A 27,289-nucleotide genomic window follows, 5' to 3' on the forward strand; every position below is an offset into this window, starting at 1 on the left:
ACCTGGCCATTCCCAGTGTCTCTCACTCTCCTTGGGTCTCCCTATTCCCTGAGATAAAGTAATATTGAAGTTAGACTAATTAATAACAAAGCAGTGGCCTCTAAGTGTTCAAGTGAAAGGAATAAGTAGCACATCTTTCACTGTAAATCAAAGGGTAGAAATGATTAAGCTTAGTGGAGAAGGTATATTCAAAGCCGAGGCAGGCTAGGCCTCTTGTGCCAAATGGTTAGCCAAGTTGTGAATGCAAAGGAAAAGTTCTTGAAGGAAATTAAAAGTGCTATTCCAGTGAACACACAAATGATAAGAAAGTGAAACAGCCTTATTGCTGATATGGAGAAAGTTTTATAGGTCTGGATAGAAGATCAAACCAGCCACAACATTCACTTAAGTGAAAGCCTAATCTAGAGCAAGGCCCTAACTCTCTTCAATTCTGTGAAGGGTGAGAGAGGTGAGGAAGCTGCGGAAGAAAAGCTTAAAGCTATCAGAGCTTAGTTCATGAGATTTAAGGAAAGAAGCTGTCTCCATAACATAAAAGTGGAGGGGAAGCTGCAAGTGCTGATGTAGAAGCTTGCAGCAAGTTATCCAGAAGATCTCACTAGCATCATCGATGAAGGTGGCTACACTGAACAGCAGATTTTCAATGTAGATAAGACAGCCTTCTATTGAAAGAAGATGCCATCTCATACTTTCATAGCTAGAGGGGAAAAGTCAATACCTGGCTTCAGAGCTTCAAAGAACCAGCTGACTCTCTTGGTAGGGGCTAATGCAACTGATGACTTGAAGTAGAAGCCAGTGCTCATTTACCATTTCATAAACCCTAGGGTCTTTAAGAATTATACTAAATCTATTCTCCCTGTGCTCTAGAAATGGAACAACAAAGCCTGGATGACAAAATGTACATTTACAGCATCATTTACTGATTATTTTGACTCCACTGTTGAGACCTACTTCTCAAAAAAAAAAAAATTTTTTTTTCAAATGATTGCTGCTCATTGACAGTGCACCTGGTCACCCAAGAGCTCTGATGGAGAAGCACAAGGAGATTAATGTTGTTTTCACGCCTGCTAACACAACGTTCATTCTGTAGCTCATGGATCAGGGAGTCATTTTGATTTTCAAGTCTTATTATTTAAGAAATACATTTCACAAGGCGATAGCTGCCATAAATAGTGATTCCTATGATGGATCTGGACAAAGCAAATTGAAAACTTTCTGGGAAGGATTCACCATTCTAGATCCCCTTAAGAACATTTGTGCTTCAATGGGCAAAATAAAAGATCAACATTAACAGGAGTTTGGAAGAACTGGCTTTGAGGTGTTCAAGATGTCATTGAAGGAAATAGCTACAGTTGGGGTGGAAATAGCAAGAAAACTAGAAGTGGAACCTGAAGATGTGACTCAGTTGCTGCAATCTCGTGATAGAACTTGAATGGATGAGAGTTGCTTCTTATGGATGAGCAAAGAAATTTTGCTTAAAAAGCAAAGTTTTTAAGATGGACTCTGCTTCTGGTGAAGATGCTGTGAACATTGTTGAAAAGGATTTTAGAATATTACATTAACTTAGTTGATAAAGCAGCGGCAAGTTTTGAGAGGATTGACTCTAATTTTGAAAGAAGTTCTACTGTGGGAAAAATGGTATCAAACAGCATCACATGCTACAGGGAAACCTTTCATGAGAGGAAGAATCAATTGGTTTAGCAAACTTTATTGTTGTCTTATTTTAAGAAACTGCCGCAGCCTCCCCAGCCTTCAGCATCCATCAGCCTGATCAGTCAGCAGCTACCCTCTATCAGCAAAAAGATTATGACTCACTAAAGGCTCAGATGAGGGTTAGCATTTTTTTAGTAATAAAGTTTTTTTTTTTGGAGATGGAGTCTCGCTCTGTCGCCCAGGCTGGAGGGCAGTGGTGTGATCTTGGTTCACTGCAACCTCCGCCTCCTGTGTTCAAGCAGTTCTCCTGCCTCAGCCTCCCAAGTAGCTGGGACTACAGGCACATGCCACCACACCCCACTAATTTTTTTGTATTTTTTAGTAGAGACGGGGTTTCACCGTGTTAGCCAGGATGGTCACGATCTCCTGACCTTGTGATCCGCCTGCCTCGGCCATCCAAAGTGCTGGGTTTACAGGTGTTAGCCACCACGCCAGCCTAAACTACTTTTTAATTAAGGTTTGTACATTGTTTTTAAGAGCTATCGCACACTTAATAGACTACAACACAGTGTAAACGTAACTTTTATACACATTGGAAAAGTAACAAATTCATGTGACTTGCTTTATTGAAATACTTGCTTCATTGCAGTGGTCTGGAACTGATCTCACAGTATCTCCAAGGTATTCCTATATACTAAAATGCATTCTGAAACTCTTAAGAGCAGGATATAGTTGGACTCTTACCTACACTCTTTTTTTCTTGTGAAAACCTTTTTCCTAAAAGCTCTTTGAAAAATTAATATTCCAATGAATGCTTTTGGGAAACACAGAGTATGTTATATTGTGATTTGTAGTGTTTTAGATAGTTTAAACACAACATTCCTTAGAGATTGTTGAAATATTTAGGGCAATTGCTTTATAAAGTGGAGGTTAAGAAGCAATCTTTATAGTCTTTGCTAATTTCTAGCTAAAATTGTAAATGTGATAATTGCTACATTAAAAAATTTAAGTATCTTATTTTTTAACTCATTATCTTTTAGAAGTTAGAAACAAAATATGTATTTATGAAATATGTAGACTGCAAGTTCACTTATCCAGATAATTGCACATTTATTTTCTATACAACAAGCAATTGTTCATTTTTGGTGAGTTTATTTTCTGTTGAAAAAAAGGTACTATCACTTATTTAGTATTATCAGTTTATTGTAAAATTGCTACACCCTATAACAGTGTAGAGCTGTAACATTTAGTAAATATAGTGTTCTTCTTCAGGAAGCATAATCTTGTGTAGCTAAGTGAAGCTATGTTTCTGGCTTGCTTACTGAGGAGGTCCTTGACACCTACATCATGAAAGCTGATGTACGGTGTTTGAACCTTCACATTTTGGCTTTAGAGTCATGTTTTCACAATCGGCTTGGGAATGGATTCTAAGAGTCACCCTCCAGGTGTGGCTCTGTATTGCTTTGTCATGGGTGTGTCCGTGAAATGTTTTTCCTTCCAAACCAGTAGCCCACAGCCCTTCCTTTGTGTTGCTTGTTTTGGCTGCTGATCTTATTTTCCCAATTTCTCTATGGGCTTCACTCTTTCATCATTTATGACTTGGAAAAACACATTAATAATACATACCCCTAGTATTTGGATAGTAAAACAATAGTGGTTCATTTTAGAAAAAAAGAAAAGTTAATGTCAGAAACAATAGCCATTTTTTGGGGGATGACTATAAAATGAATTTGATGAGCTCAATCTTTTTCTGACTTACCATGAAGGCTTCTTTTTAATAATTATTCTTAAACACTTATATTGACAGAAATGAATCATTAAAAGCTAGTTATATTAAACAACCACTTTTTTTAAAAGCTAAAATGATTTTGTTGACATTGTAGTTTGATATAATAATTTGTTTCACTAACTGGTAATGATTGGAAGAAAAAATAGTAAAGGTAACATTTTAATCATTTTTAGTAATCTTTATTTTTGCTCAAAATGTCTGTTTTTTCTTGGATCTGGATTCAGCTTTCTTGAGAATCAGCTTTTACTTTCCGTTTTTTTTCCTTTCTTTCTTTCTTTCTTTCTTTCTTTCTTTCTTTCTTTCTTTCTTTCTTTCTTTCTTTCTTCCTTCCTTCCTTCCTTCCTTCCTTCCTTTCTTTCTTTTCTCTCTCTTTTTCTCTTTCTCTCTTCCTCCCTTCCTCCCTTTCCTTTCTTTCTTTTCTTTCTTTCCTTCCTTCCTTCCTTCCTTTCTTTTCTTTTCTTTTCTTTTCTTTCTTTTCTTTCTTTTCTTTCTTTCTTTCCTCAGTCTTGCTCTCTCATCCGGGCTGGAGTACAGTGGTGTGATCTTGGCTCACTACAGCCTCTGCCCGCTGGGCTCAAGCAGTTCTCCTGCCTCAGCCTCCCAAGTAGCTGGGATTACAGGCATGCACCGCCAGGCCCGGCTAATTTTTGTATTTTTTGTTTGTTTGTTTGTTTTGAGACGGAGTTTTGCTCTTGTTGCCCAGGCTGGAGTGCGATGGCGCAATCTCAGCTCACCGCAACCTCCACCTCCCAGGTTCAAGCAGTTCTCCTGCCTCAGCCTCCCAAGTAGCTGGGATTACAGGCGTGCACCACCATGCCTGGCTAATTTTTTTTGTAGTTTTAGCAGAGACTGGGTTTCTCCATGTTGGTCAGGCTGGTCTCGAACTCCTGACCTCAGATAATCCACCCACCTCGGCCTCCCAAAGTGCTGGGATTACAGGCGTGAGCCACCGTGCCTGGCCTAATTTTTGTATTTTTCGTAGAGACTGGGTTTTGCCCTGCTGGCCAGGCTGGTCTCAAAATCCCAACCTCAGGTCATCCACCTGCTTTGGCCTCCCAAAGTGCTGGGATTACAGGCATGAGCCACCACGCCCGGCCACTTTCTGGTTTCTACTTTATCCTCATAATTTCCCTCTTGGTATTTGAGCAGGGGTTAAAGACTCAGAAAAAGAAACAACTTCACTATGGCCTATAATATTAATGGAAATACTTCAGCCTGAAAGGTTAAAATAAAGCACTCCCTTTGGTGGAGGATGACTTTGGCTGCATGGAATCAGTGTACTTTGTGCTCAGGCTTAGGAGAACATATCAAGTATCACGGCTGGCTACACAGCCTGGTGTCAGTTTAACTCTTTCAGCCACAGTAGCATAACGGGAAATTACTTCCTCTTGGGTTCTTTGTATGTGCAGTCATTGTGTCTGCATTTGTATTGTATTATCTTTCCTCATCTGGCTTCCTGATAAAATGGAGAATCGATTTTTTAGTGATTTCTGCCTAGCAGAGACAATTATCTGTTTATTTTTCTTTGCCTTTCCTGGTTTCAGATATAGAATTTATTCACCTGTTATTAAATTTTCAATTAGATGATAAAAGTTTAAGGTTTTTGAAATATGATCTTAACCACTGAAAGATGAGTGGGGTGAGAAACATAGAAAAAAGTAACCGTGTGAAAATAATTCCCAAGGAAAAGCCGGTATTGTTGAACGGGTACATACTGGCTCTTTTACTAAGATGTCTTCTGAATTAAAAGAGCATGTGAAATTATAACACATTTATACGTCAATGAAAATAAAACAACTTATCATAACTCGTTTCATACTCTCAGATAAGCCACTTCACTGTGACAATGAAGGTGACGTGATACCTAACTATACAATAAAAAAAAATAGCACTTTAAGTATATATTTACAAACGTATGTATACACTCTTTGTGTTTGGAAATAGCTACGTTCATTTGAGCAAATAAATCCCCTAAAAGCAACAAGATGGGAGAAAACATTAACTCAATCATTATCACTTAAGCTTGCCTTACTTTTTACTGTCTCTGTTATGATATTTTCAGTTACTTAATATGACTGTGTTGAAGATGGTTTAGAAATCTATGTGAGATTAAGTACAAGATACTAAGTGGATAAGAAAGCACATTTACATATTTTTGCTTACTATTACATTGTAAAATATTTTTATTTTGATCCTACTATAAGAGCTGAGGGAAAGGCAGAATAGCCTGATTATTGCTGGAGAATTTCTCTGTTCCCTACCATGATTCCAGAAGCTCTTGCACACTTCATCAGTATTATTGTAATTCTTTGGCTGCAGGATATTTGGCAGCTGTTGCACCCCACTGGCAAATCCTATTCATACTTCTTTCCCATTCACCATTGCCATTGGAGAATTGATTTCTCTCTCCTCTACTCTAACCTTTCCCAATTCATTTTGGATTGTTCAATGTGAAACATTTTAATTTCATATCATACAGCTATTCAGCTTACAATCCCTTTTTTAACCTGTCACCAGGGTAACAGCATAGCATGCTTTCTTTAGGCAATCAAGTTTTTATTTCACATGCTTAATGTTGCATTAAATGTTTGCATTTTGTTTAACCCCCTTAAATAGTTTGAACTCTGGATATGTTTTATAGGGTAATGAAATCCTTGATTTTTGAATTGAAACTAAATCAACACCATCAGTGCATTTATAATAAAATGTCAAAAGATTAATTTCCATAATACAAAGATTATTATTAAAAACGCAAGTTAGCTGATCTGTGTAAGGCAATTTTCTGTAGGTAATGGAGGAATATTTGTATATATTATATTTGTGTTCAGCCTTGTTCCAAAAAAAGATTTAAAAGTGGTTTAGAGATTGTCAGTGAGATAAGTAAAAAACTTAAAAAAGGAATAGATTTGGTGCAAATGGGAAAATATATCTTTTGAACCCATTATTTGATTTTTCAGTATAATGCTTTTTTCTCTGTTCGTATATATGAAGATTTGATTACTTGATTTTTCAGTATAATGCTTTTTTCTCTGTTTGTATATATGAAGATGTGATTACTTGATTTTTCAGTATAATGCTTTTTTCTATATTTGTATATATGAAGACCATAATGATTTATGCATGTGGAGATGGGTGAAGTAACGAGATGTACTAGAATGAGATTAGACATCTTTTCTAGGAGACCAGTGTGGGCATTGTGTGCTTTAATATCTCTTCATCAGTTTACTTTAGAACTACCTTTTCCTTAAAATAAGTAATTTAATAATAATAGATTAGTGAAGATAAAAATGCATATGTTTAGATATTGATTATTTGACTTGAATTGGATAGACCTCAGTTTCCCTTTACAGAACTACCTAGTCATCTTTTCAGCCTTATCCCCAATAATATGTTCAATGAAATTTGTTCTGTGAATAAATCCTGTGATATTTGGAAAATACTAAGAAATGTGTAAGACAAGGTAGAGCAGAGACTAGCAAACCATGTTGCTTGGAAGCATGGTTCAAATTGTAATGCCCGGGGTAACCACTAAGAAAATAACTTTAAAAAATAGTATTAGTAAAAGAAAAGTCAAGGGAATTAAAATAAGACAATAGAAAACGTTGATTTAAAACAAGACAATAATAAAGGAATAGAGGGAGAAAAAAGATATGACATATAGAAAGTAAAAAGCAAAATGGTAGATGTAAATCCTACCTGATGGGTAATTAATTATATTAAATGCAGATGGCTTAAGCCTATCAAGAGCAGATACTGACAGAATAGATTTAAAAATATGATCAAACCATATGCTTTACAAGAGACACACTTTAGAGTTAAAGGCATAAATAGGTCAATTGTAAAAGGATGGAAAAAAGTATCAGACAGACATTGTATTCGTAATATTATTATCAGTATTTTATTACTAATAATGCTGATGTCAAACAAAATAGCCTTTTTTTTTTTTTTTTGAGATAGGGTCTTGCTCTATCACCCAGTCTGGAGTGCAGTGGCATCACAGGTCACTGCAAGTTTGAACTCCTGGGCTCAGGTGATTCTCCTGCCTCAGCCTCCTGAGTAGCTGGTACTAGAGTGCATGCCCTAACATTTGGCTATATATATATTTTTAAATAGAGATGAGGTCTTGCTATGTTACCCAGGCAAGTCTCGAACTCCTGGGCTCAAGTGATCCTCCCACCTCAGCCTCCTGAAGTGCTGGGATTATAGGCATGAGTCAACACACCCAGCCTTTTTTTGTATTTTTTTTTTCTTCCAGAGACAGGGTCTTGCTCTGTCACCCAGGCTAGAATACAGTGGTGTGATTATAGCTCATTGCTGCCTCTAATTCCTGAGCTCATGTGATCCTTCTGCCTTAGCCTCCCAAGGAACTAGGACTACAGATGTACTCCACCATGCCCAGCTAATTTTTAAAAATCTCTTTAGAGGTAGGTTTTTCCTATATTGCCCAGGCTGGTCTTGAACTCCTGACCTCAAATGCCTGGACTCAAGTAATCCTTACGCCTCAGCCTTCCAAGTAGCTGGGATTACAGGCATGAGCTGCCAAGACAAAATATTGTTCAAGACAAAATTATTGCTAGAGACAGAGGGGTATTTTATAATGATAAAAGGGTCAATCCATCAGAAAGCTATAACAAGTATAAACATATATGTACCTAATAACACAATTCCCAAATATGTGAAGCAAAACTGAGACAAAGAGAGAAATAGGCAATTCCACAATACATCACTTTGAAAAATGGATAGAACAACTAGAGAGAATATCAGCAAGGAAGTAAAAGTGTCGGACAGCCCTATAGACCAAATAGATCTAACAGACATCTCTAGAATAATCTCTCCAACAACAGCAGAATATACCTGTCTCAAGTGCACGTATAACATTCTCCAGGCTAGACCATATTTACCATACCATATACTAGGCCATAAAACAAGCCTCAGTAAATTTACTAGAATTGAAATCATCCAAAGTATGTTTCTGACAAATTAAATGAAATTAGAAAGCAACAAGGAAAATTTGGGAAGTTCATACATATGTGGAATTAAGCAATGTACTACCAAATAACCAATAGATTTACAAAATTACAGAGGAAACTAGAAAATATTTTGTGGTTAATATAAACATCACAACATCTAAAAACGTGTGGGCTGCACATAAGCAGTGCTTAGAGGGAAATGAGAGCTGTAAGCACATGTATTAAAAAAAGAAGAGGCCAGGCAAAGTGGCTTACATTTGTAATCCTAGCACTTTGGGAGGCTGAGACGAGCAGATTGTTTGAGCCCACTAGTTCGAGACCAGCCTGGGCAACATGGTGAAACCCTATCTCTATAAAAAATACAAGAATATGCTGCGCATGGTGGCACGTGCCTATAGTCCTTGCTACTTGGGAGGCTGAGGTTGGGGAATTGTTTGAGCCCGGGAGGCGGAAGTTGCAGTGAGCCAAGATCGTACTACTGTACTCCTGCCTGGGTGGCAAAGTGAGACCCTATCTCAAAATAAAAGAAGAAATAAAGCTGGGTGTGGGTTTGGTGGCTAACGCCTGTAATCCCAATTCTTTGGGAGATTGAGACTGGAGGATCACTTCAGCCTAGAAGTTTGAGACCCCATCTCTACAAATAATAATAATAATAATAATAATAATAATAATAATAATAATAATAAAATAATTCGCTGGGTGTGGTGGCACACACTTGTAATCCCAGCTACTAAGAAGGCTGAGGTGGGAGGATCGGTTGAGCCCAGGAAGTCAGGGCTGTAGCAGTGAGCCAAGATCATGCCACTGCACTCCAGCCTGGCTGACAGAGTGAGACCCTGTTGAAAGAAAGAAGGAGAGAGAGAGAGAGAGAAAGAAAGGGAGAAAGAAAGAAAGAGAGGGGGCGGTGGGAGGAGGGAGGGAGGGAGGGAGGGAAGGAAGGCAGTCAGGCAGGCAGGGAAGGGAGGGAGGGAGGGAGAGAAGGAAAGGAAGGATCAATTACCTTATCTTCCACTTCAGGAAACATGGAAAAATAGAGCAAACAAAAGCAGAGGGAATAAAATACTGAAAACTAGAGTACAAATAAATGAAATAGATACTAGAAAGCAATAGAGGAAATCAATAAAAGCAAAATGTGTTTGTTGGAAAGATCACAGAAATGACAAACCTGTAGATAGGCTGACCAAAAGAAAAAAAACTGAAATTGTAAAATCATGAATAATAGGGGGTATGCCTACTGACCTTACAGAAATTAAAATGGTCATAAGGGAATATTGTGAACAATTGTTTACCAATAAACAAGATAACTTAGATAAAATGGAGAAATTCATAGAAAGATACAGACTGCCAACACTTTCTCAAGAGAAAGTAGGAAATCCGAATAGACTTATCATAAGTAAAGAGATGGAACTAATCGTTGCAAAACTTCTTAGAAAGAACTCAGGACCAGATGACTTCATTGGTTAAAAAAGTTAAAGGAAAATTACTTAATACTAATCCTCACAAACTCTTCCAAAATCCCAATTTACAAGACCAATATCATCATGATTCCAAAACCAGATAAAGTCATTGCAAGACAAAAACTAAAGGCTGATATCCTTCTTAAGTATTAATGCAAAAATTCCCAACCAAATAGTGGCAAACTGAATCCAAGAATATATACAGTGATATACATCATAACCAAATGAGGTTTCTCCTAGAGATACAAAGTTGGTTTAACATACAAAAGTCAATCGATGTGATACATCATATTAATAGAATAAGAGAAAAAAACCACAGGATTATCTCAAATGCAAAAAAAAAATCTGACAAAATCCAACAGCTTTTCATTATGAAAAACACTCAGCCTACTCGGAATAGAAGGCAACTTCCTCAGACTGATGAGGAGCATGTGTAATAAACCCACACCTGAAAATAAGGGCATCTAGATTGGAGAGAAGTCAACTTACCTCTTTTTGCAGATGACATGATTTTAGATGTAGAAAATCTTGAGGAATTGACAAACAAATCTGTTAGAACTAATGAGTCCTGGAAGGATACAGGATACAAGAATGATATGCAAATATCAATTTTTGTTTTTATACAGTGGCATTGTACAAGCCAAAAATGAAATTAACAAAACAACTCTATATAGCACCAAAAAATATACAATACTTAAATGTAAATTTTAAACAAGAAATGCAATACTTGAACACTGAAAACTATAAAATGTTGTTGAAATAAAGATGACCTAAATGAAAAACACCCTATGTTTTGAATCAGAAGACCTAATATTGATCACCAAACTGATCTACAGATTCAGCACAATCCTTACTAGAATCCCAGCTGCATTATTTTTGGAAAAATAGACATCTGATTCCAAAATTCATATGAAAATGCTTTTGCATTGTAAAAGAGGAATGAAGTTCAGAGGCTCCTACTTCCCGATTTCAAAACACTACAAAGCTACAATAATCAAGACAAAGTGGTACTGGCGTAAGCATAGACATGTTGATCAATGGAATAGAATCGAGACTCCAGAAATAAATTGTTATATTTACAGTCAATTGAGTTCAGTAAGGATAGGAAGAAAATTGAATGAGTTAAGATTAATCTTTTCAGTAAATTCTGCTTGGGCAATTGGATATGCACATGTAAAAGAATGAAGTTGGTCTCCTTCCTCACACCATACATAAAAATGAACTTTAAGAATCATAGACCTAAATGTAACAGTGCATACAACAAAATTCTTAGAGAAAAACATAGGAGTTAATCTTTGTTACGTTTGGTTAGGTAATAATTTCTTACATAAGATGTCAAAAGTACACGCAGCAAAAGAAAAATTAGATAAATTGGACTTCAGAATTTAAAACTTGTGCTTTAAAGGACATGATGAAGAAAGTGAAAAGACATCCCTCAAAATGGGAGACAATATTTGCAAATCATATATATTTAATAGTCTTTTGTCTAGTATAGGGAATTCTTACAACTTAATAATAGGACAAATGATCCAGTTAAAAGATAGGCAAAGGACATGAATAAAAATTTTTCAAAAAAGATATAGAAATGGCCAATAAGCCCATAAAAGATGCTCTGTATCATTAGTTGATAGGAAAATGTAAGTCATAACCACAATGAGATACCACTTCACACCCATGAAGTGGTGAAGATGTGGAAACATGGGAACCATTACATGTTCCTGGTGGGAATTTATGACTACAGTGATATGAACTTGGGAATAATTTGACAGATTCTTAAAATATTAGACGATTACCACATGACCTAGCTATTCCACTTCCTGGTATATACCCAAGGGAAATGAAACCATGTGTGCACAGAAATGTTGTATACAAATGTTTATAGTGGCATTTTTCATAATAGCCAGTGGAAACAACCCTAATGTCCTTCAAATGATGAATGAGTATATAATAGTAAATAAAATGTGATACGTTCATAGAATGGATTATTTTTCAGCAATAAAAATAAATGAGCTATTGATATTTTCTGCAACATGGATGAATTTTGCAAAAATGCTAGATGAAATAATTCAGTCAAAGTAGATCACAAATTTTCCCAGAATAAGCAAAGCTATAGAAATCGAAAGTACATAACAGTTGCTTAGGGCTGAGGAGGGGAATGTAGAGTAACTGCTCTCGTATCTAATGTTTCCCTTATGAGGCAATGAAAACGTTTTAAAGTTGCTTGTGGGGATGGTTGCATAACTCTGTGACTATACTAAAAACCATTAACTTGTACACTTCAGATGGGTTAAATGTATGATATGTGAATTTCATCTCAAACTGTTTAAATGTATATAGTCTGTTACACATTTTATATTTAAGAATTTGTTTTCCTAATGGTATAATAGATGTTCAAATTTTAGGAATTAAATGAGGCATTTCTTCCTTCTAGTTTGATGGAGTCTTTGAGAATATTTCTTTTCAAATTGTAAAATATGTTTCTATGTCTGCTCTCAATTTAGTGCAAGAGTAGCTCTTGGGGGTAGCAATATCAAGTGTTCCTGGGCTACCACCTGGAAGGTGGAAGTAGTAGATGTATGTGAACCCGCGTTCTTCCATCTTTTCTTTCCTCTTCTGCCTTGAAATGCAAGTGACATAAAATTAAAACAACACGGAAAAGTTTCAGTTCCTACAATGGCAGTGTAGTGTATTTTCAATGAATTCCTTTCCAGATAAATAATTATAAACTCTGGACAAAATATAAAGCACAACTATTTGAAGGCTGTCGATGTACAACCAAATACGACCCCTAAAAGAAGAAAACTACACCAGTGAGATGCACATTTATGTGGCTTTTCCTCTGAAAGCAGTCACTATTGCATGCATTAAGGCATGGCTGTAACTCAGTTATTGGTTTTAGGTCTCAGAGAATGATGTTCAGTGTTGTCAGAACTGCTGGAAATTAAGCAGGGATATCATGGCAGAAAGGGAGCAACAGAGTGAAGAGTTCCATATGTGAATTCAGGTTCTCTCAAATTGTTGGTTGACCCTGGAAATGTGCGTAACAAAGACCCCAGGGATCCCAGAAGATCCCAGAACTGCTGGAATGCTGAATGAACTGAGCTAAAATTTCAGTTGCCTACCATGGTTATGATAATGTTGGAATCTGAATCTCATCAATTTGAGGTACTTGTAAACACCTTGAGCTTTCCATTAAAACCCTGGAAGGACCATGCCTTGGGAGAAAAGACTGTTTCTGGAATAAATGGTTTGGACTTTTTATTTATTGAGAGCAAAACCAAATAGTTCCTAGTACAACATAAAAGTGAGCCTCCACAACTTCAGGACTGGTAACTAGCAATGTAACTGCCTGCTGTAATAAAAATCAGTACTTTTCAGAGGGAGATAACATGATGAGTGAAGTCTGACAACATCTCCACAATACAGTTTACTTGGCATGCAATCTAAGAATAAAGACAACTATAATCCAGAGGAAAAGCAGTCAACAGAAATCAACCGTGAGATTACTAAAATGTTTGTTTCATGGGCAAGAGCTTTAAAGTAGCTATTAAAATCATTTTCAAGTATTAAAGATGAAAATGAGGGAAAAATGGGAACTATCAGCATAGAAATGGAAATTAAAACACACTACTAAGTGGAAATTCCATATCTAAAATGTCCTATATCTGCAATGGATAATTTGCTGGATAGGCTGAAAAGCATACTGGTGATGGCAGAAGAAGGAATAGGTAACCTTGAAGATAGAAGAATAGAGATTATGCAATCTGAAAAAAGAGAAAGAAAAATGTGTTTAAAAAATTGAAGAGACACAAAAGGACAAAGGAAACTTTTGGAGGTAAAACATGTTTATTACCTTGATTGTGGTGATAATGTAATGACCGTATGCATATGTCCAAACTAATCAACTTGTGTGCATTAAACATGCTGTTTTTTAAAATGTCAAATACACCTCACTAAAGGTGTTTAGCCGAGGTGGGCAGATCACCTGAGGTCAGGAGTTTGAGACCAGCCTGGCCAACATGGTGAAACCCTGTCTCTACTAAAAATACAAAAAATTAGCCAGGTGTGGTGGTGCACGCCTGTAATCCCAGCTACTAGGGAGGCTGAGGCAGGAGAATCACTTGAACCTGGGAGCTGGAGGAGCTTGCAGTGAGCTGAGATCGTGCCACTGCACTCCAGCCTGGGCAACAGAGCAAGACTCCTCAAAAAAAAAAAAAAAGAAAAAGAAAAGAAAAAAGCTGTTTAAAAAAAAATGGAAGACAGCCTCGGTGACTTGTGGGCACTATAAGTTATCAGGAAGCATGTATTAGGAAGGACAAAAAGAAAGGCAAGAGAGTGAAGAAACTTCAGAAAAAATATTTAATGTTGTCTTCTTAAGATTGGGAACAAGACAAAGTTGTCTGTTTTTATCGTGTTTATACAGTATTATCCTGGAGATCCTAGCCAGTGCAGTTGGAAAGAAAAGAATAAAAGGCATAGAAATCAGAAAGGAAGAAGTAAAGTCATTTCTATTTACAGAGGTCATAATTGTTTGCATAGAAAGCCTTATAAGAATCTATAAAACAATTGCTGGAACTAACAAATTTAGCAAGATTACAGGATAAAAAGGCAATCAAATGCAAGTTGTATTTGAATAAACTAGCAACAATGGGAAAGTGAAAATTAAAGTTCCACTTAACATAGCATAAAAATAGGCAAAGCAGACACCGTCACTAGTTAGAGTATGAAGGCATGCAAGAAATAACGGAGCCTAATGATTGCAAAGGAAGCTTTCCACACCTTAATTGGTTACCTAAGAAAACTCTAAGGAGTCTGCCATACAATGAATAAAACTAAGGCAAAAATAGGCATAAAGTTAACAAAAGAGATTCATGACTACCACACTTTATGAAATAAATTAAAAATCAGAAGAAGTAAGAGTTATATCCTGCTCATGGACTGGAAGAGAAAATATTAAGATGTCACTTCTCTCTACAGTAATACAGATTCAATGCAGGCCCGATAGTAATTCTATTGGGATTGTATCTCAGGGAGGATGTGGAAGAAATTGGCACATTGATTTTGAAATTTCTATGGAAATGCAAAGGGACTTGTATTAGTCCATTTTCACCCTGCTGATAAAGACATACCTGAGACTGGACAGTTTACAAAAGAAAGAGGTTTAATTGAACTTACAGTTCCACATGGCTGAGGAGGCCTCAGAATCATGGACGAGGAGGGGCAAGTCACATCTTAAGTGGATGGCAGCAGGCAAAAAGAGTTTTGTGCAGGGAAACCCCCCCCTTTTTTTTTTCTTTAACCATCAGATCTCGTGAGACTCCTTCACTATCATGAGAACAGCATAGGAAAGACCTGCCCCCATATTCAGTCACCTCTTACTGCATCCCTCCCATAACACGTGGGAATTCAAGATGAGATTTAGGTGGGGACACAGCCAAACCATATCAGACCTAGAATAGCTAATAGGAACAAAGTTGCAGTACTTGGTCTACAAATTTTCCTGAAATGGGCTCACCCCTGTCTCCTACCACACAGGAAAGTTAGAGATGCATCATAGACAGATCTACATGTAAAACATCTAAAACATGTGAGTATATCTTCTGAAACTTTGTATGTAGGCAAAAAACTTCTTAGCAAGGACACAAAGCACTAAACATAAAAGGAAAAATTAGTGAGTTAGATTTTGTTAATATTAAAAACTTCCATTAAAACTGTAAAAAGATACCACTACATACCTATTAGAATGTCTAAAATCCAGAACACCGAACACCACGTGCTGCTGAGGATGTGGAGCGACAGGAGCTCTCATGCATTGCTGGTGGGAGTGCAAAATGGTAAGCCACTTTAGAAGACAGTTTGGCAGTTTCTTACACAGCATAACCTTACCATATAATCAAGGAGTTGTGCTCCTTGGTATTTACCAAAATGAGCTGGAAACATAGGCACACACTAAAACCTGCACGTGAATGCTTACAGCAGTTTTATTCATAATTGCCAAAACTGAGAAGCAATGTCCTTCAGTAGGCGAGTGGATAAACTGGTATGTCCGTACAATGGAATATTATTTAGCAATAAAAAGAAATGAGCTACTAAGGCATGAAAAGACAGTGGAAACAAATACATATTGGTATGGGGAAAAAGCTAATCTGAAAAGGCAGCATTCTGTATGATTCCAGCGCTAAGTGACATTCTGAAAAAGGCAAACCTATGGAGATGGTAGAGATCAGTGATTGCCAAGCATTCGGGGGAGGGAGGGGAAATAAATAGGTGGAACAGGGGACTTGTAGGCAGTGAAGCTACTCTGTATCATACTGTAATTCTGGACACATTTCATTAGATATTTGTCAAAACCCACAGAATGTATAACACAGTGAACCTTAATGTATGGACTTCAGTTAACAGTAACATTGATATTGGCTTATCAATTGTAACAAATACACCATACAAATGCAAGATGTTCATAATAGAGGAATTCATGTGGGGGAGGATGTATGGGAAATTGAAATTCTGTTGAGTTTTTGTCAACCTAAAACTGCTTTAAAAAATAATGTCTTTTTTTTTTTTTTTAAATCTGCTGAAGGAAAGACATTGTTAAGAAAATTCATAAGCAAACCACAGAAGAGAATACTTGCAATACATAAATCTGACAAAGGCCTTGTATCCAAAATAAAGAACTTTCACAAATCAATAAAAATAAGGCCAATGACCTAATAAAAATGGGCAAAAACTTGAATATAAATGGCCACTGAGCACCATAAGGTCCTCAGCATTACTAGTCATGGGGGAAATATACATGAAACTATGATAAGATGCGGTTTCCCAGCCTCTAGCCTGGCTAGAATTAGAAAGACTGACAATGCCAAATGGTGGCAAGGATGTAGAGTAACTCATTGCAGTGGAAACATGGAAATGTTGTAATCTTTTGGAAAACAATTTAGCAACTCATATAAAATTAAACCTACATTTAGCCTACGACCTCTACTCCCTAGATTTTTTACCCCCCAAGAAATGAAGACATACCTCTTTAAGGGGGGAAAAAGCAATCAAGTACAAAGAATATCTACAGTGGCTTTGTTTATAACAGCCCCAAACTGGAAACCACCAAAAATGTCCATCCACAGAAGGATGAACTTATTTTGGTGTGTTGGTACAGTAAAATACTTCTCAGCAAGAAAAAAAGGATGAACTATTCAACAACATGGATGGATGCACCTCAAAAACATTATATTGGTCAAAAAAGCCACAGTTTTTTTTGGAGTCTGTTCTTGTGAAGCTCAGAACAGGCAAGCATAATCTCTGGTTGACTGTTAGTGGCAGGCAGAGCCAAGCGACTGGAAGGGTGAATGACAGAACTTAAGATCTTGGAATTTGACTGTATGTTAGTTGTATGCGAGTAAAATTTAAAAAAAAATAACAGTTGCTGAAACAAAAGAGAGGGATTTCAGATATTTCTGCACCCAATTATGGTAACAATAATAACTAATTTAGCATTTATGTGCCAAACACTACTCTAAGCATTTTACACCTTTTATCTCATGTAAGCAGCATATGGGTTAGGCATTCTTATTATCTTTGTCTTGCTGATGAGGAAACTGAGGCACAAGGAGGCTAAGTAAGTTGTGGATGGAGGTCACACAGCTTTTGTAGGTCTGCACTTGGTCAGTGAGACATGGGGTCTGCTGGGGTGACAGCTGTGCCACAGTGCCTTTCCTGGCTAATCATGCCCAGTGTCTAAATTGAGAACCTTAAGCCCTTATCGGTGGAAGAAGGAAAGGGAGTATGCATAATATTTAAATATATGAGATTATGAGTAACATTACGTATTCTATCCTAGATTCAGATGTCATTTGTGTAATTATTTGTAATGCTAATAACACCAAACTTGGGGGTGTTCCCTGTTTCTCAGCATGATTATGTGATACAGACTCTTCCACACAGTCTCATGTATTTGAACATACACATTTTCAATTGCATGTAGGCAGAATTCTAATCCTCCTCTATGCCAATTCCTAGCTTTGAAGAGGTTCTCTGAAAATGCTGCTTTTATCTTTCTTCTGCAGTGATGAACTTTAATGTTGGAGTGTTGTAAGTTCTCACATAATAAGGCTCAGATTTTTGTTTGGTTTGGCAGTAGACTTCTGTTTAAAATTCCTTTAATCTGTTCATTCTATGCTTTTTATATTCATTTTAATAACTGATGGCTCTGTAAAGAATTTTTTTTGAATTTATTGCACTAGTTAAAAAACTACTAAAACTTGTACTTAACTATTCCTCCATCTCAACGTTCTAAAAGTGAGTTTTCCAGTGAATTGCTGAATTTTTATCTTCCCTGGGAGTTGTTCCTCCCCTTCCCCAACCCTGGGGAAATAAGAAACAATTCATATACTAGATCTAAAGTTTCATTAAAATTGCTTATGCCCTGTCTCAGGCATTTTAAGTGGGCCATCTGTCTAAACATCTCTCTCTCCTTTTTTTTTTCTGATCATTTCCTCGACTTATTCATGAGCCATGGGAGGGCTCCTTTGTAGTCTCCATGTAGCTGGTTCTGTCTACCCCCACTGAATACATCTATGTGCTTGCATAACATATCTTTTCACCGTGCTGGAAATTCTCTGAACTTGGTTCAGATGAATGGCCCACTTTCTGAAGGCCTTTTTCTTCCTGCAAAGATTTGTATGCAGAAACTGACCTCAGTGGCCATGGAATGCAGCATATTATTCTCGATCATTTTACAGCCCACCCACTGTGAAAGTTATGATGAAGCATTTCTTAATGATTCCTTGACCATTAGCATTGTTTTAACTCAGTATTTTACTTCTAAAGAGGTGATGGCACAACAAAAACCAGCTTTTTTGAGTGTCTGATAATTATGGTTTAAAATGCTTATAATCCTTTCTAACTGAAGATGCTGAGAGTTTTTATGTTTATACAGTCTTCTTTTAGCAAATGACTTGTAATAGCAAAGTATTTACTCAAAAGCACCCTTTTGAGTAAAATATTCCAGTAAGTTAAATGTATTAGTATTAATAGTGACTATCAGCTGACAGTTCTTCACCATCAAATATAAAAAATTTAGTTATGTCGAGCATATTCATCCTGGCTGGCTGATGATAAAGTGGACAGACCTGGGTTAGAGCTATTATTTTATTTGCTTTGTGAGTCACTGTTTATGTGAGTTCTTTTTTACTGGGGTTTTTGGTTTTTGTTTGTTTGTTGAAGAAATAACTTAATTGGTATCAGCTTTGCAGGTGACTAATAAGTTGCACAGATTAAATTTTTGGTCAGATGACAGCATCTTTCACTAGAAATGTACTTCGTTAAAGGAAACTGTATCATTACTATGGTGAGTTGAAGTTCTAAGACCTTTTCCTTATTGTCAGAGAGTTGTTCATAAAAATCTTCTTTGAGACTATTTTGAATTTAATGGATCTGTGTAATTCTTTTCTAAACATTTAGCACATAATTGTAGGTAATTGTTACTATCATAAATCTGTCTGTGCTGGTTAAATTAATAAGAATGTTTCAAAGTAAGTATTATAAATGTATTTTCAGTGATTTTGCAGAAATAGAGCATGCATTCTTTCAGGTTTGTATTTTTTAAAATTTATAGCTTATTTCTATTGCAGAGCATATTTATATCTGCCAGTTAACTGGCATATATGCCCAACCCATCCATTTTATTTAAAAACCCAAACAAAACTAGTTTCAAACTTATGTCAAGCCAGAAGGAATCTTTGCAAATTTTGTTTGTAGAAGAGTGAACTTACAAATAGATTTCACAGTTTCGACTCTGTTTTGGTATTTAGAGGTCTTGCACAGTGAAGCCTTTTTCCTATATCCTGTTAACATATCACCCTGAAAGAAATTGTTAGAAAAAGGCTGGGTACTGTGACTCACACCTGTAATCCCATACTTTGGGAGGACAAAGCAGGAGGATCCCTTGAGGCCAGGAATTCAAGACCAGTCTGGGCGTCATAGCGAGATCCACCCCATCTCTTAAAAAAAAAGCCAGACCTGGTGGTGGCGCACACCTGTAATCCCAGCCACTCAGGAGGCTGATGCAGAAGGATCATTTGAGCCCAGGAGTTCCAGACTGCAGTGAGCTATGATTGGGCCACTGCACTCCAGCCATTGTGACACAGTGAGATCATGTTTCTTAAAAGAAAAGGAAAAAATTGTTAGAAAAGTGCCACTGCAGGAGTTAAGTTTGTAGAAGAAGCAGTAGCTTCCTATCACTTGCCTAACTCTGATACACTTTTACAGGTGTAGAAATATTGGTTCAAACAGATTGAATAAGTTCTCAGGTACATTGCTAGTAGAACAGGCTGAGATTTAGACCTGGATGTTTTAACTCGAAACCCTGTACTCTTTCCATAAGGCCCCTCCTGGGACAAATTATAATATATATGAAACAGATGTGAATCAAAATAAAACAATGGAAAAATAAATAGTACTTAGGTTTTGGAGAGTGGCAACTGTATCTCATCACCATCTATAAGGTCCCTTTCTGTGGGAAAATGGGTTCTGGGTTGGAACAGGATGTCAGGATCAGCAATGTTCCAATGCCTCTGGAAGCAGAGACTTGTTACGTGATAGAAGAAATTCTCAATCCCTACTCCATCAGGCTGCTACAGTTTGAAAAATATTACAGCATATGACATAGATTAAATGGAAGAAAGATCTCTTGAGTTTATGCTATAATTAAGGAACAATTTGTGAGGGAGGCAATATTTTCCTTGAAGGATCTGTTAGTGTGAGAAGCAGAGAGATGAGATGAGAATCCAAAGTTTCTATAAAGAAAGAGGTTTCAGTTATAGGGGAAAGTAAGAATATAGGCCGAGAGCCGGGACAACTACTCATAATAAAAGCTATAGCATGTATACACCTAATTTAATCAACACCTCCCTATCAATGCAGATATTGTTACAATCTTTTATACATACATAAGGAAACTGAGACAGACAGTTTGCTCCGGGTTTTGTGTCAGCTTCTGTGACTCATCAAGGCCTGAGTTCAAAACCACTGTCTTGCTCTCTGCCTCATGGTAGCTTGGTTTAAGAGTCTGTCCTAACCAAATAGACAAATCAGAGAATAAGCAGAAATAAAATTGAATGCAAAAGGTGGGTTCTTACTTTTAAGGCATTGAATGGTAGTTAGGTTAATAAAGATGTAACTTGGTGTGGGGTAGAAAACGATCAAATGATCATGAGCAAGATAGTGACATAATTCTTGAGGAAAGCACAGATTCAAGAAAGCCAAGTTGCACGGTCATCTAGATGTGAGGCTGTTTCTGCAATCACAATACCCCTGTGAAATTGGAGTATTGACCCCATTCGAAGTGAGCAAAATGAAGTCTTAGTGAGATGATAGGCGTAGTCCAGGGACACCCAGGGAGTATCCAGGAGCTTGGGGCACACAGTCCTGTCACACCTGTGCTCTTGCTCTCCTGGGCAAGTCAGCCTCCCCTTCTACACGTGCTTGGTGCATAGTAGACACTCCTCACAGTCTTTTCTACTTATCCCTCATCTCTTTGTCTCCATCCTGTGCCAGGAGCTGGAGATACAAAAATAAGGAATGATTTTGGTCTTTTAGGAGCCCACAGGACACTGGGAGACAAACATATAAACAAATAAATGCCCTGTAGAATAAAGGTGCTAAGAAAAAAAAGAGGAATACTGGCACAGAAGCCCTTTCTTCCCTTCTTCCTTTCTGCTCAGACCTCCTTTTCTTTCCCTCTCCTCCTCCCCTCCCCACTGTGTGTTGTCTCCCTCAACTCCCCTGCACCCCCATTCATTCATACTCTTCTGTGTGAGGCTCTATCCCCTGAAACAGTTCTTTTCACACTGCCAGAAAGAATCGTCAAGGCCTGTGTGTACAGTGTGCATTATTGTTGATGCATTTTTTTTTTACTTTTATTTTTACTTCCATGGTATTTAAAACATATCCTTATCTTCAGAATAATGCAGATCAAGAAGTGGTAGGTCAAATACAAATATGTATTTAAATTAATAATATTAATCAGATATTGAATCTAGAGGTGATTGGATTAGAAGCATAGTTTTTGTGACTCTGATTTTTTTAATGCTGAATACACAGAGACTTCTTTTGAAAATTTGGTGGGTTTAAATGAAAACATAACTTGGAACATTTTTTCAGAACTGTGGTTTAAGCTGGAGCCCAGATACTACAAAATGCTGATGTTTAGTACTTGGTAAATATTACTTCACAAGTATAAATATGCAATACCTAAATTAGGTTAATTCTGAAATCATTAAATTTTGTTACTTTAAAAAGTCGTGGGAAACATTTATATTCTAAAAACACTTTTGTCTTTGGCTGCTTGATACGGATTTTCTGAACCATGTAATACTGATAATATGCAAGAAAAGACCCGTATGATAAGACTAACATTGTTCATAGATATGGAGTCCTTTCTGGGGGGTTTTAGGTGATGGGGAAAACCAGGGCTAGAAAAGAAATAATGTGTAAGTTTCCAAGATGAGGACTGTGTTTTATTTCTCTGTGGTGCCCCACAATTTAGAGCCAAGTGCTTAGTGTTTGTTGAACTCATAAGTCATTTAGGGTTTTGTGTGTGTGTGTGTGTGTGAATGTGCTTTATTTTAGCAAAATTTAGATGTTGTCCTATTATATAATAACATAATAAGTGGGTATCTGAGTAATGTTTAAATTCGTTTTTTAAATTTCGTGAATTTTTAGTAATAACATTATAAAATAAGTATAGTTTTTTTTTTGTTTTTTTTTTTTTGCAAAAAATAATTATATCGGCCAGGCGCGGTGGCTCATGCCTGTAATCCCAGCACTTTGGGAAGCCGAGGCGGGTGGATCATGAGGTCAGGAGTTCAAGACCAGCCTGACCAAAATAGTGAAACCCCATCTCTACTAAAAATACTAAAAATTAGCCGCGTGTGGTGGTGGGCGCCTGTAATCCCAGCCTCTCGGGAGGCTGAGGCAGAAGAATCACTTGAACCCAGGAGGCAGAGGTTGCAGTGAGCCGAAATCGCACCATTGCACTCCAGCCCGGGCGACAGTGCAAGATTCCGTCTCAAAAATAATAATAATAATTAAAAAAAATTATATCCTAGCTAATGTACTAAGATATTTCTCTTCTAATTGACATCATGAAGAAACATTCTATAAGTAGAATAATGTAGAGAGGTTCATTGTTTAATACATTTTTAGTCTCATCACCAGTAAAGAACAAAATGATTCTCTAGGCCACATCATGCTAACTCAGTAATTCATTTTATGTCTCTGAAGTTTAAGGCATGGCATACTTACTTATTTCATTGTAATTTTTTTTTAAAAAAACCATTTTGAATAGTAACCAAATATTGAAAAAAACTAATACTGCTTCAGGCAGATGAATTTGTGAATGACTGTAACAATTAGGCAATTCAAATTCATAGATACATGATGATTCTTAGAGTAGGTGTTTAAAATGTTCGCAAATACATTCAATGGCAGTTTTAGCCTGTGCATTTTATATCAAAGGGAAATTAGTTTATTGAGAAATAATAATATAAAATTATTAACTCTTTTTCTTTTCATTCTACTTCAGAATGCCTGTTATTAAACCAGACATAGCCAACTGGGAGCTCTCAGTAAAATTGCATGATAAAGTTCATACCGTAGTAGCATCAAACAATGGGTCAGTGTTCTCGGTGAGTTTTCTTTCTTTATTTTCTTGGTAATCTTGATGTTATCTATGAATATTTAAAGCCATTTTTAACCTGTTCAGTGACTCTCGTCTTTTGAATTTGTAGTACCTCTATGTATTTTTCATCTTCTTTAGGAAGCTGAATGGAAATGGAAATTTTTGTTCTCTTATGCTTATTAGGAAATACATTTCTAGATTTAGCCACATCCTAAACTCACTTTCTGATACTTGATTCATTTTTCTTTTATGCTGTGAGAAGTAATACTTTTGCCTTTGTTACAGAGAAGAGCATTTTGAATTACAGTTCCAAATGTATGATAGTGGTGGTAGGTAACCATCCTTTTAAAACAAATAATCTGAAGCCTCACATAACATTATCTTTAAATCTCATGCTGCAAGACACTCTTGAGGCTAAATTTACCTTGTGGTGACACTCTTTTTGTTTTGAAGAACTTAAACCCCTTGGATATAGGGTCCAAGATAGAACTGCCACAGTTGGAATTCTAGTCTATAGTGAACAAGATTACAGTAAGATTTCAGTGTTTATACTGTAGTATGAGTGATATGTTTAAAACTGTGATCCGAGTGTGCCAGAAAAATACCATTAAGAGTTGCTGTTTTAAGTCGTATGCCTTCGTGTTTTCAGCCTGAACTCAAGGAGGTTGCTATTAATATATAGTTAGTATAATGAATATTCTGTTTATCTACATTTCTCTTCTTACGGCTAAATTGCATTGAAATGTCATTTTGTTTTGGGGAAACAAGTGAATTTTTATCAGAATATTGAAATAGGATATGAACATCAAAACAATATAATTTCACACAAATAAGACCTGGTGTGGCTTGAGAGGGGTACGGCAGTTTCTTGATCTCAGTGAGAAAATATCACAAGTTGAAGATTCATGAGAATTCATTCATTCCACAAATAATTGTTGCATGCCTACTGTGCACCAGATCAGTTCCAAGCTGTTGCCCTGGAGAAGCTGACATTCTTGTGTGGTGTCAGACTCACAGATCAATGATGTCAGTCCATGAACTAAGGGTAGTCTCCTTGGTTTTCTTTAAATGTTGTGATTCACTGTATACGCCAAAATTGCTGAAACGTTAGATACTGAAAGATACTTCACTCAGCTCTCTTAAAATGAAAGCTATGATGGAGTTAAACAGCTGTCTCATGAGATCTTGTGTGACTCTCTACATTCCACCTATTGACATGGTCATTTCAGAAAAACAGCTTTGTAAGTGCACATTTAACCAGAGATCAGGTTGAGTAGCAAATTATAGGAATTGAATAGTAAAGAGTATCAATATTACAATGTAGCATTTTTTTTTCTGGGGGAAGATTAACTTTACAAAAATGTAGAGTTTAGCATAATTTTCAGTTCTATATTGAGTCACCACTGAAGCCTTACTGTAATCTGATATTCTGATACAATGTTCTTTTAAGTAGTGCCTTACCTTAATAAAGAAAACTGTCTAGATTACTTTTCAGAGCTGTTACTTCTTTTTTTTTTTTTTTTTTTTTTTTTGAGACAGAGTCTTGCTCTGTCGCCCAGAGGCTGGAGTGCAGTGGCATGATCTCGGCTCACTGCAGCCTCTTCCTCCCAGGTTCAAGTGATTTCTCCTGCCTCAGCCTCCCGAGTAGCTGGGACTACAGGTGCATGCCACCACACCCAACTAATTTTTGTATTTTTAGTAGAGATGGGGTTTCACCATGTTGGCCAGGCTGGTCTCGAACACCTGAGCTCAAGTGATCCTCCTGTCTCAGCCTCCCAAAGTGCTGGGATCACAGGCGAGCGTTGCTTCTTTATGTTTGTTTTAGATTCCATGTTGAAAAGTAGAGACCTCTGGCCTGACTGCATACGTGGTATCTTTCAAATTTTTTTCTGTAGAATTATCTCCAGCTTCACTTTTTAGCTTATGAGGAAAACAGGGCTGTTTTTAAAACACATCAAAATTAGTGCATTAAAAACTTCCCTGGAAAATATCCACCTTAGTATATAATATCAGAAATGATTTCCTATATTTATTGGCTTAGCTACTGTCAGAGCATCAATAGCCCAATGAAAGGCATGTGCACATGATAGTGTAGCCCTTTTTCCTAGGCATATTTAAATTTAGCTACTTTCATTTGACATCAGTATTATGAAAGGAGGCAGGTTGAACAGCGTGGCGAAGTAAAGGCTCATTGGTAGAAATATTTCAATAGTATGGCACTATTGTCTGCTTTTAGGGTCATAGACGGGAGAACTGTGATTGTTAACTTAGTTTCCCAGATCACCCACTGTCACATCAAGAAAAAAATTAGCCTACAGGTGACAAGCCAGGTCTGGGTTAATGACTCTGGAGATAGTGCAGGCAAAGGCTTTACTGAGCACACAGTAAAGCTTTAGGTGCCCTACATTTCCAGAGTTCTTCTGTTTAATTTTTAGGAGTTTAAATTATAAGATATTTCTAATAAGGAAAGTACAGCAGATGTTGCAGATTTTCCATACAGGTCTCCTATTTAAAAAGAAAAATATATAGATTAAACTAAGTCCTTTCTTTACATCATCCTGTTCCACTTTCTCCCAAGTGGTGGCAGCTAACCTGATGATGCTGTGTGTCCTTTCTGTATGTGTTGTTAAGACTTTTGGTACAGATGTATACACCACAATAATGGTAAAAAGGAAAGTTGCAACAATATACATACTTAATGGCACCATTTATGTAAATTTTAGGCAAAGCAATTTCATTTACAATAGAATGAAAAGGACTAAAATACTTAGGAATATATTTGACCAAGGAGGCGAAAGGCTTACACACTGAAAACTATAAAATGTTGCTGAAAGAGCTTAAAAAAGACACAAATATATGGAAGGGTATCTTGTGTCAGGGACTAGAAGACTTAATATGGTTAAAATATCAGTACCTCTCAGCTACTTGGAAGGCTGAGACAGTAGGTTCACTTGAGCCCAGGAGTTTGTGCCCAGCCTGGGCAACACAGCAAGACTCCATCTCTGGTGAACAAAAGAAAAATGAAAGAAGGAAATGTCAGTACTACCTGAAGTGATCTACAGATACAACGCCATCCCTATCAGAACCCCCAAATACATTTTGTTGCAGATATAGACAAATTTATTCTGAAATTCATGCAATTTCAAGGGGGTCCCAAATAGTCAAAACAATCCTGAAATAGAAGAAGAAAGTTGAAAGCCTTATACCTCCTCATCTCAAAACTTATTACAAAACCACAGTTTTCAAAACAGTGTGGTACTGCACATATATAGACCAATGGACTAGGATAGAGAGCCCATAAGTAAACCCTTGTATGTATGGTCAAATGGCTTTTGACAAGAGTTTCTAAAATATTCAGTGGAGAAAAGACAGCCTTTTCAACATGAATAAATTTGGGTCCTTTTCTTACTCTGTATACAAAACTAACCAAAATGGATCAAAGACCTAAATGTAAGAGCTAATGCTATAAAATTCTTAGAAGAAAACACAGGGGAAGGCTGCGCACAGTGGCTCATGCCTGTAATCTCAGCACTTTGGGAGGCCAAGGCAGGTGGATCACTTGAGCTCAGGAGTTCAAGAGCAGCCTGGGCAACATGGTGAAACCCCATCTCTACTAAAAATACAAACATTAGCTGGGCTTGGTGGTGCATGGCACACACCTGTAATCCCAGCTACTCAGGATGCTGAGGCAGGAGAAGCTCTTCAACTCAGTGGGCAAAGGTTGCAGTAAGCTGAGATCGTGCCACTG

The 27,289-nt window shown here is 36.9% G+C and overlaps 1 protein-coding gene and 1 long non-coding RNA gene across 37 annotated transcripts in view, besides 1 other annotated feature; one reads left to right on the plus strand and one right to left on the minus strand.

Annotated features, from left to right (window-relative positions):
• The window catches only part of LOC105370335 (uncharacterized), a 35,417-nt gene extending 15,501 nt beyond the window's left edge, over positions 1-19,916 (minus strand). The window contains exons 1-4 of one of the 3 annotated variants that reach the window (XR_007063851.1): positions 19,881-19,916; positions 19,634-19,721; positions 15,602-15,681; positions 10,356-10,434 (exon numbers count right to left, since the gene is read on the minus strand). This is a non-coding gene — a long non-coding RNA (uncharacterized LOC105370335). Of the gene's footprint in view, positions 1-10,355; positions 10,435-15,601; positions 15,682-19,633; positions 19,722-19,765; positions 19,804-19,880 lie in introns of those variants that run through there. The other 2 variants (XR_007063852.1, XR_007063853.1) reach the window with 2 other exon arrangements.
• The window catches only part of PCCA (propionyl-CoA carboxylase subunit alpha), a 441,343-nt gene that overhangs the window by 255,934 nt on the left and 158,120 nt on the right, over positions 1-27,289 (plus strand). For 31 of the 34 annotated variants that reach the window (NR_148030.2, NR_148027.2, XR_007063681.1 and 28 more), the window contains one exon: positions 23,446-23,548. The exons of the other annotated variants lie outside the window; for them this stretch is intronic. Coding sequence is in view for 28 of the 31 variants with exons in the window: in XM_017020609.2 (XP_016876098.1) it covers positions 23,446-23,548 (103 nt within the window). In the remaining 3 variants the exon portion in view is untranslated. The remainder of the gene's footprint in view (positions 1-23,445; positions 23,549-27,289) is intronic. 34 annotated transcript variants of the gene reach the window in all.
• Positions 18,889-19,183: a silencer, noted in NCBI's record as "tiled region #7114; HepG2 Repressive non-DNase unmatched - State 23:Low". NCBI's record gives its function as "represses a minimal TATA promoter and a strong SV40 promoter by Sharpr-MPRA in HepG2 cells {active_cell/tissue: HepG2}" and the evidence as "EXISTENCE:reporter gene assay evidence [ECO:0000049][PMID:27701403]".

This window comes from Homo sapiens, chromosome 13 (assembly GCF_000001405.40).
Source record: "Homo sapiens chromosome 13, GRCh38.p14 Primary Assembly".
NCBI lineage: Eukaryota > Metazoa > Chordata > Mammalia > Primates > Hominidae > Homo > Homo sapiens.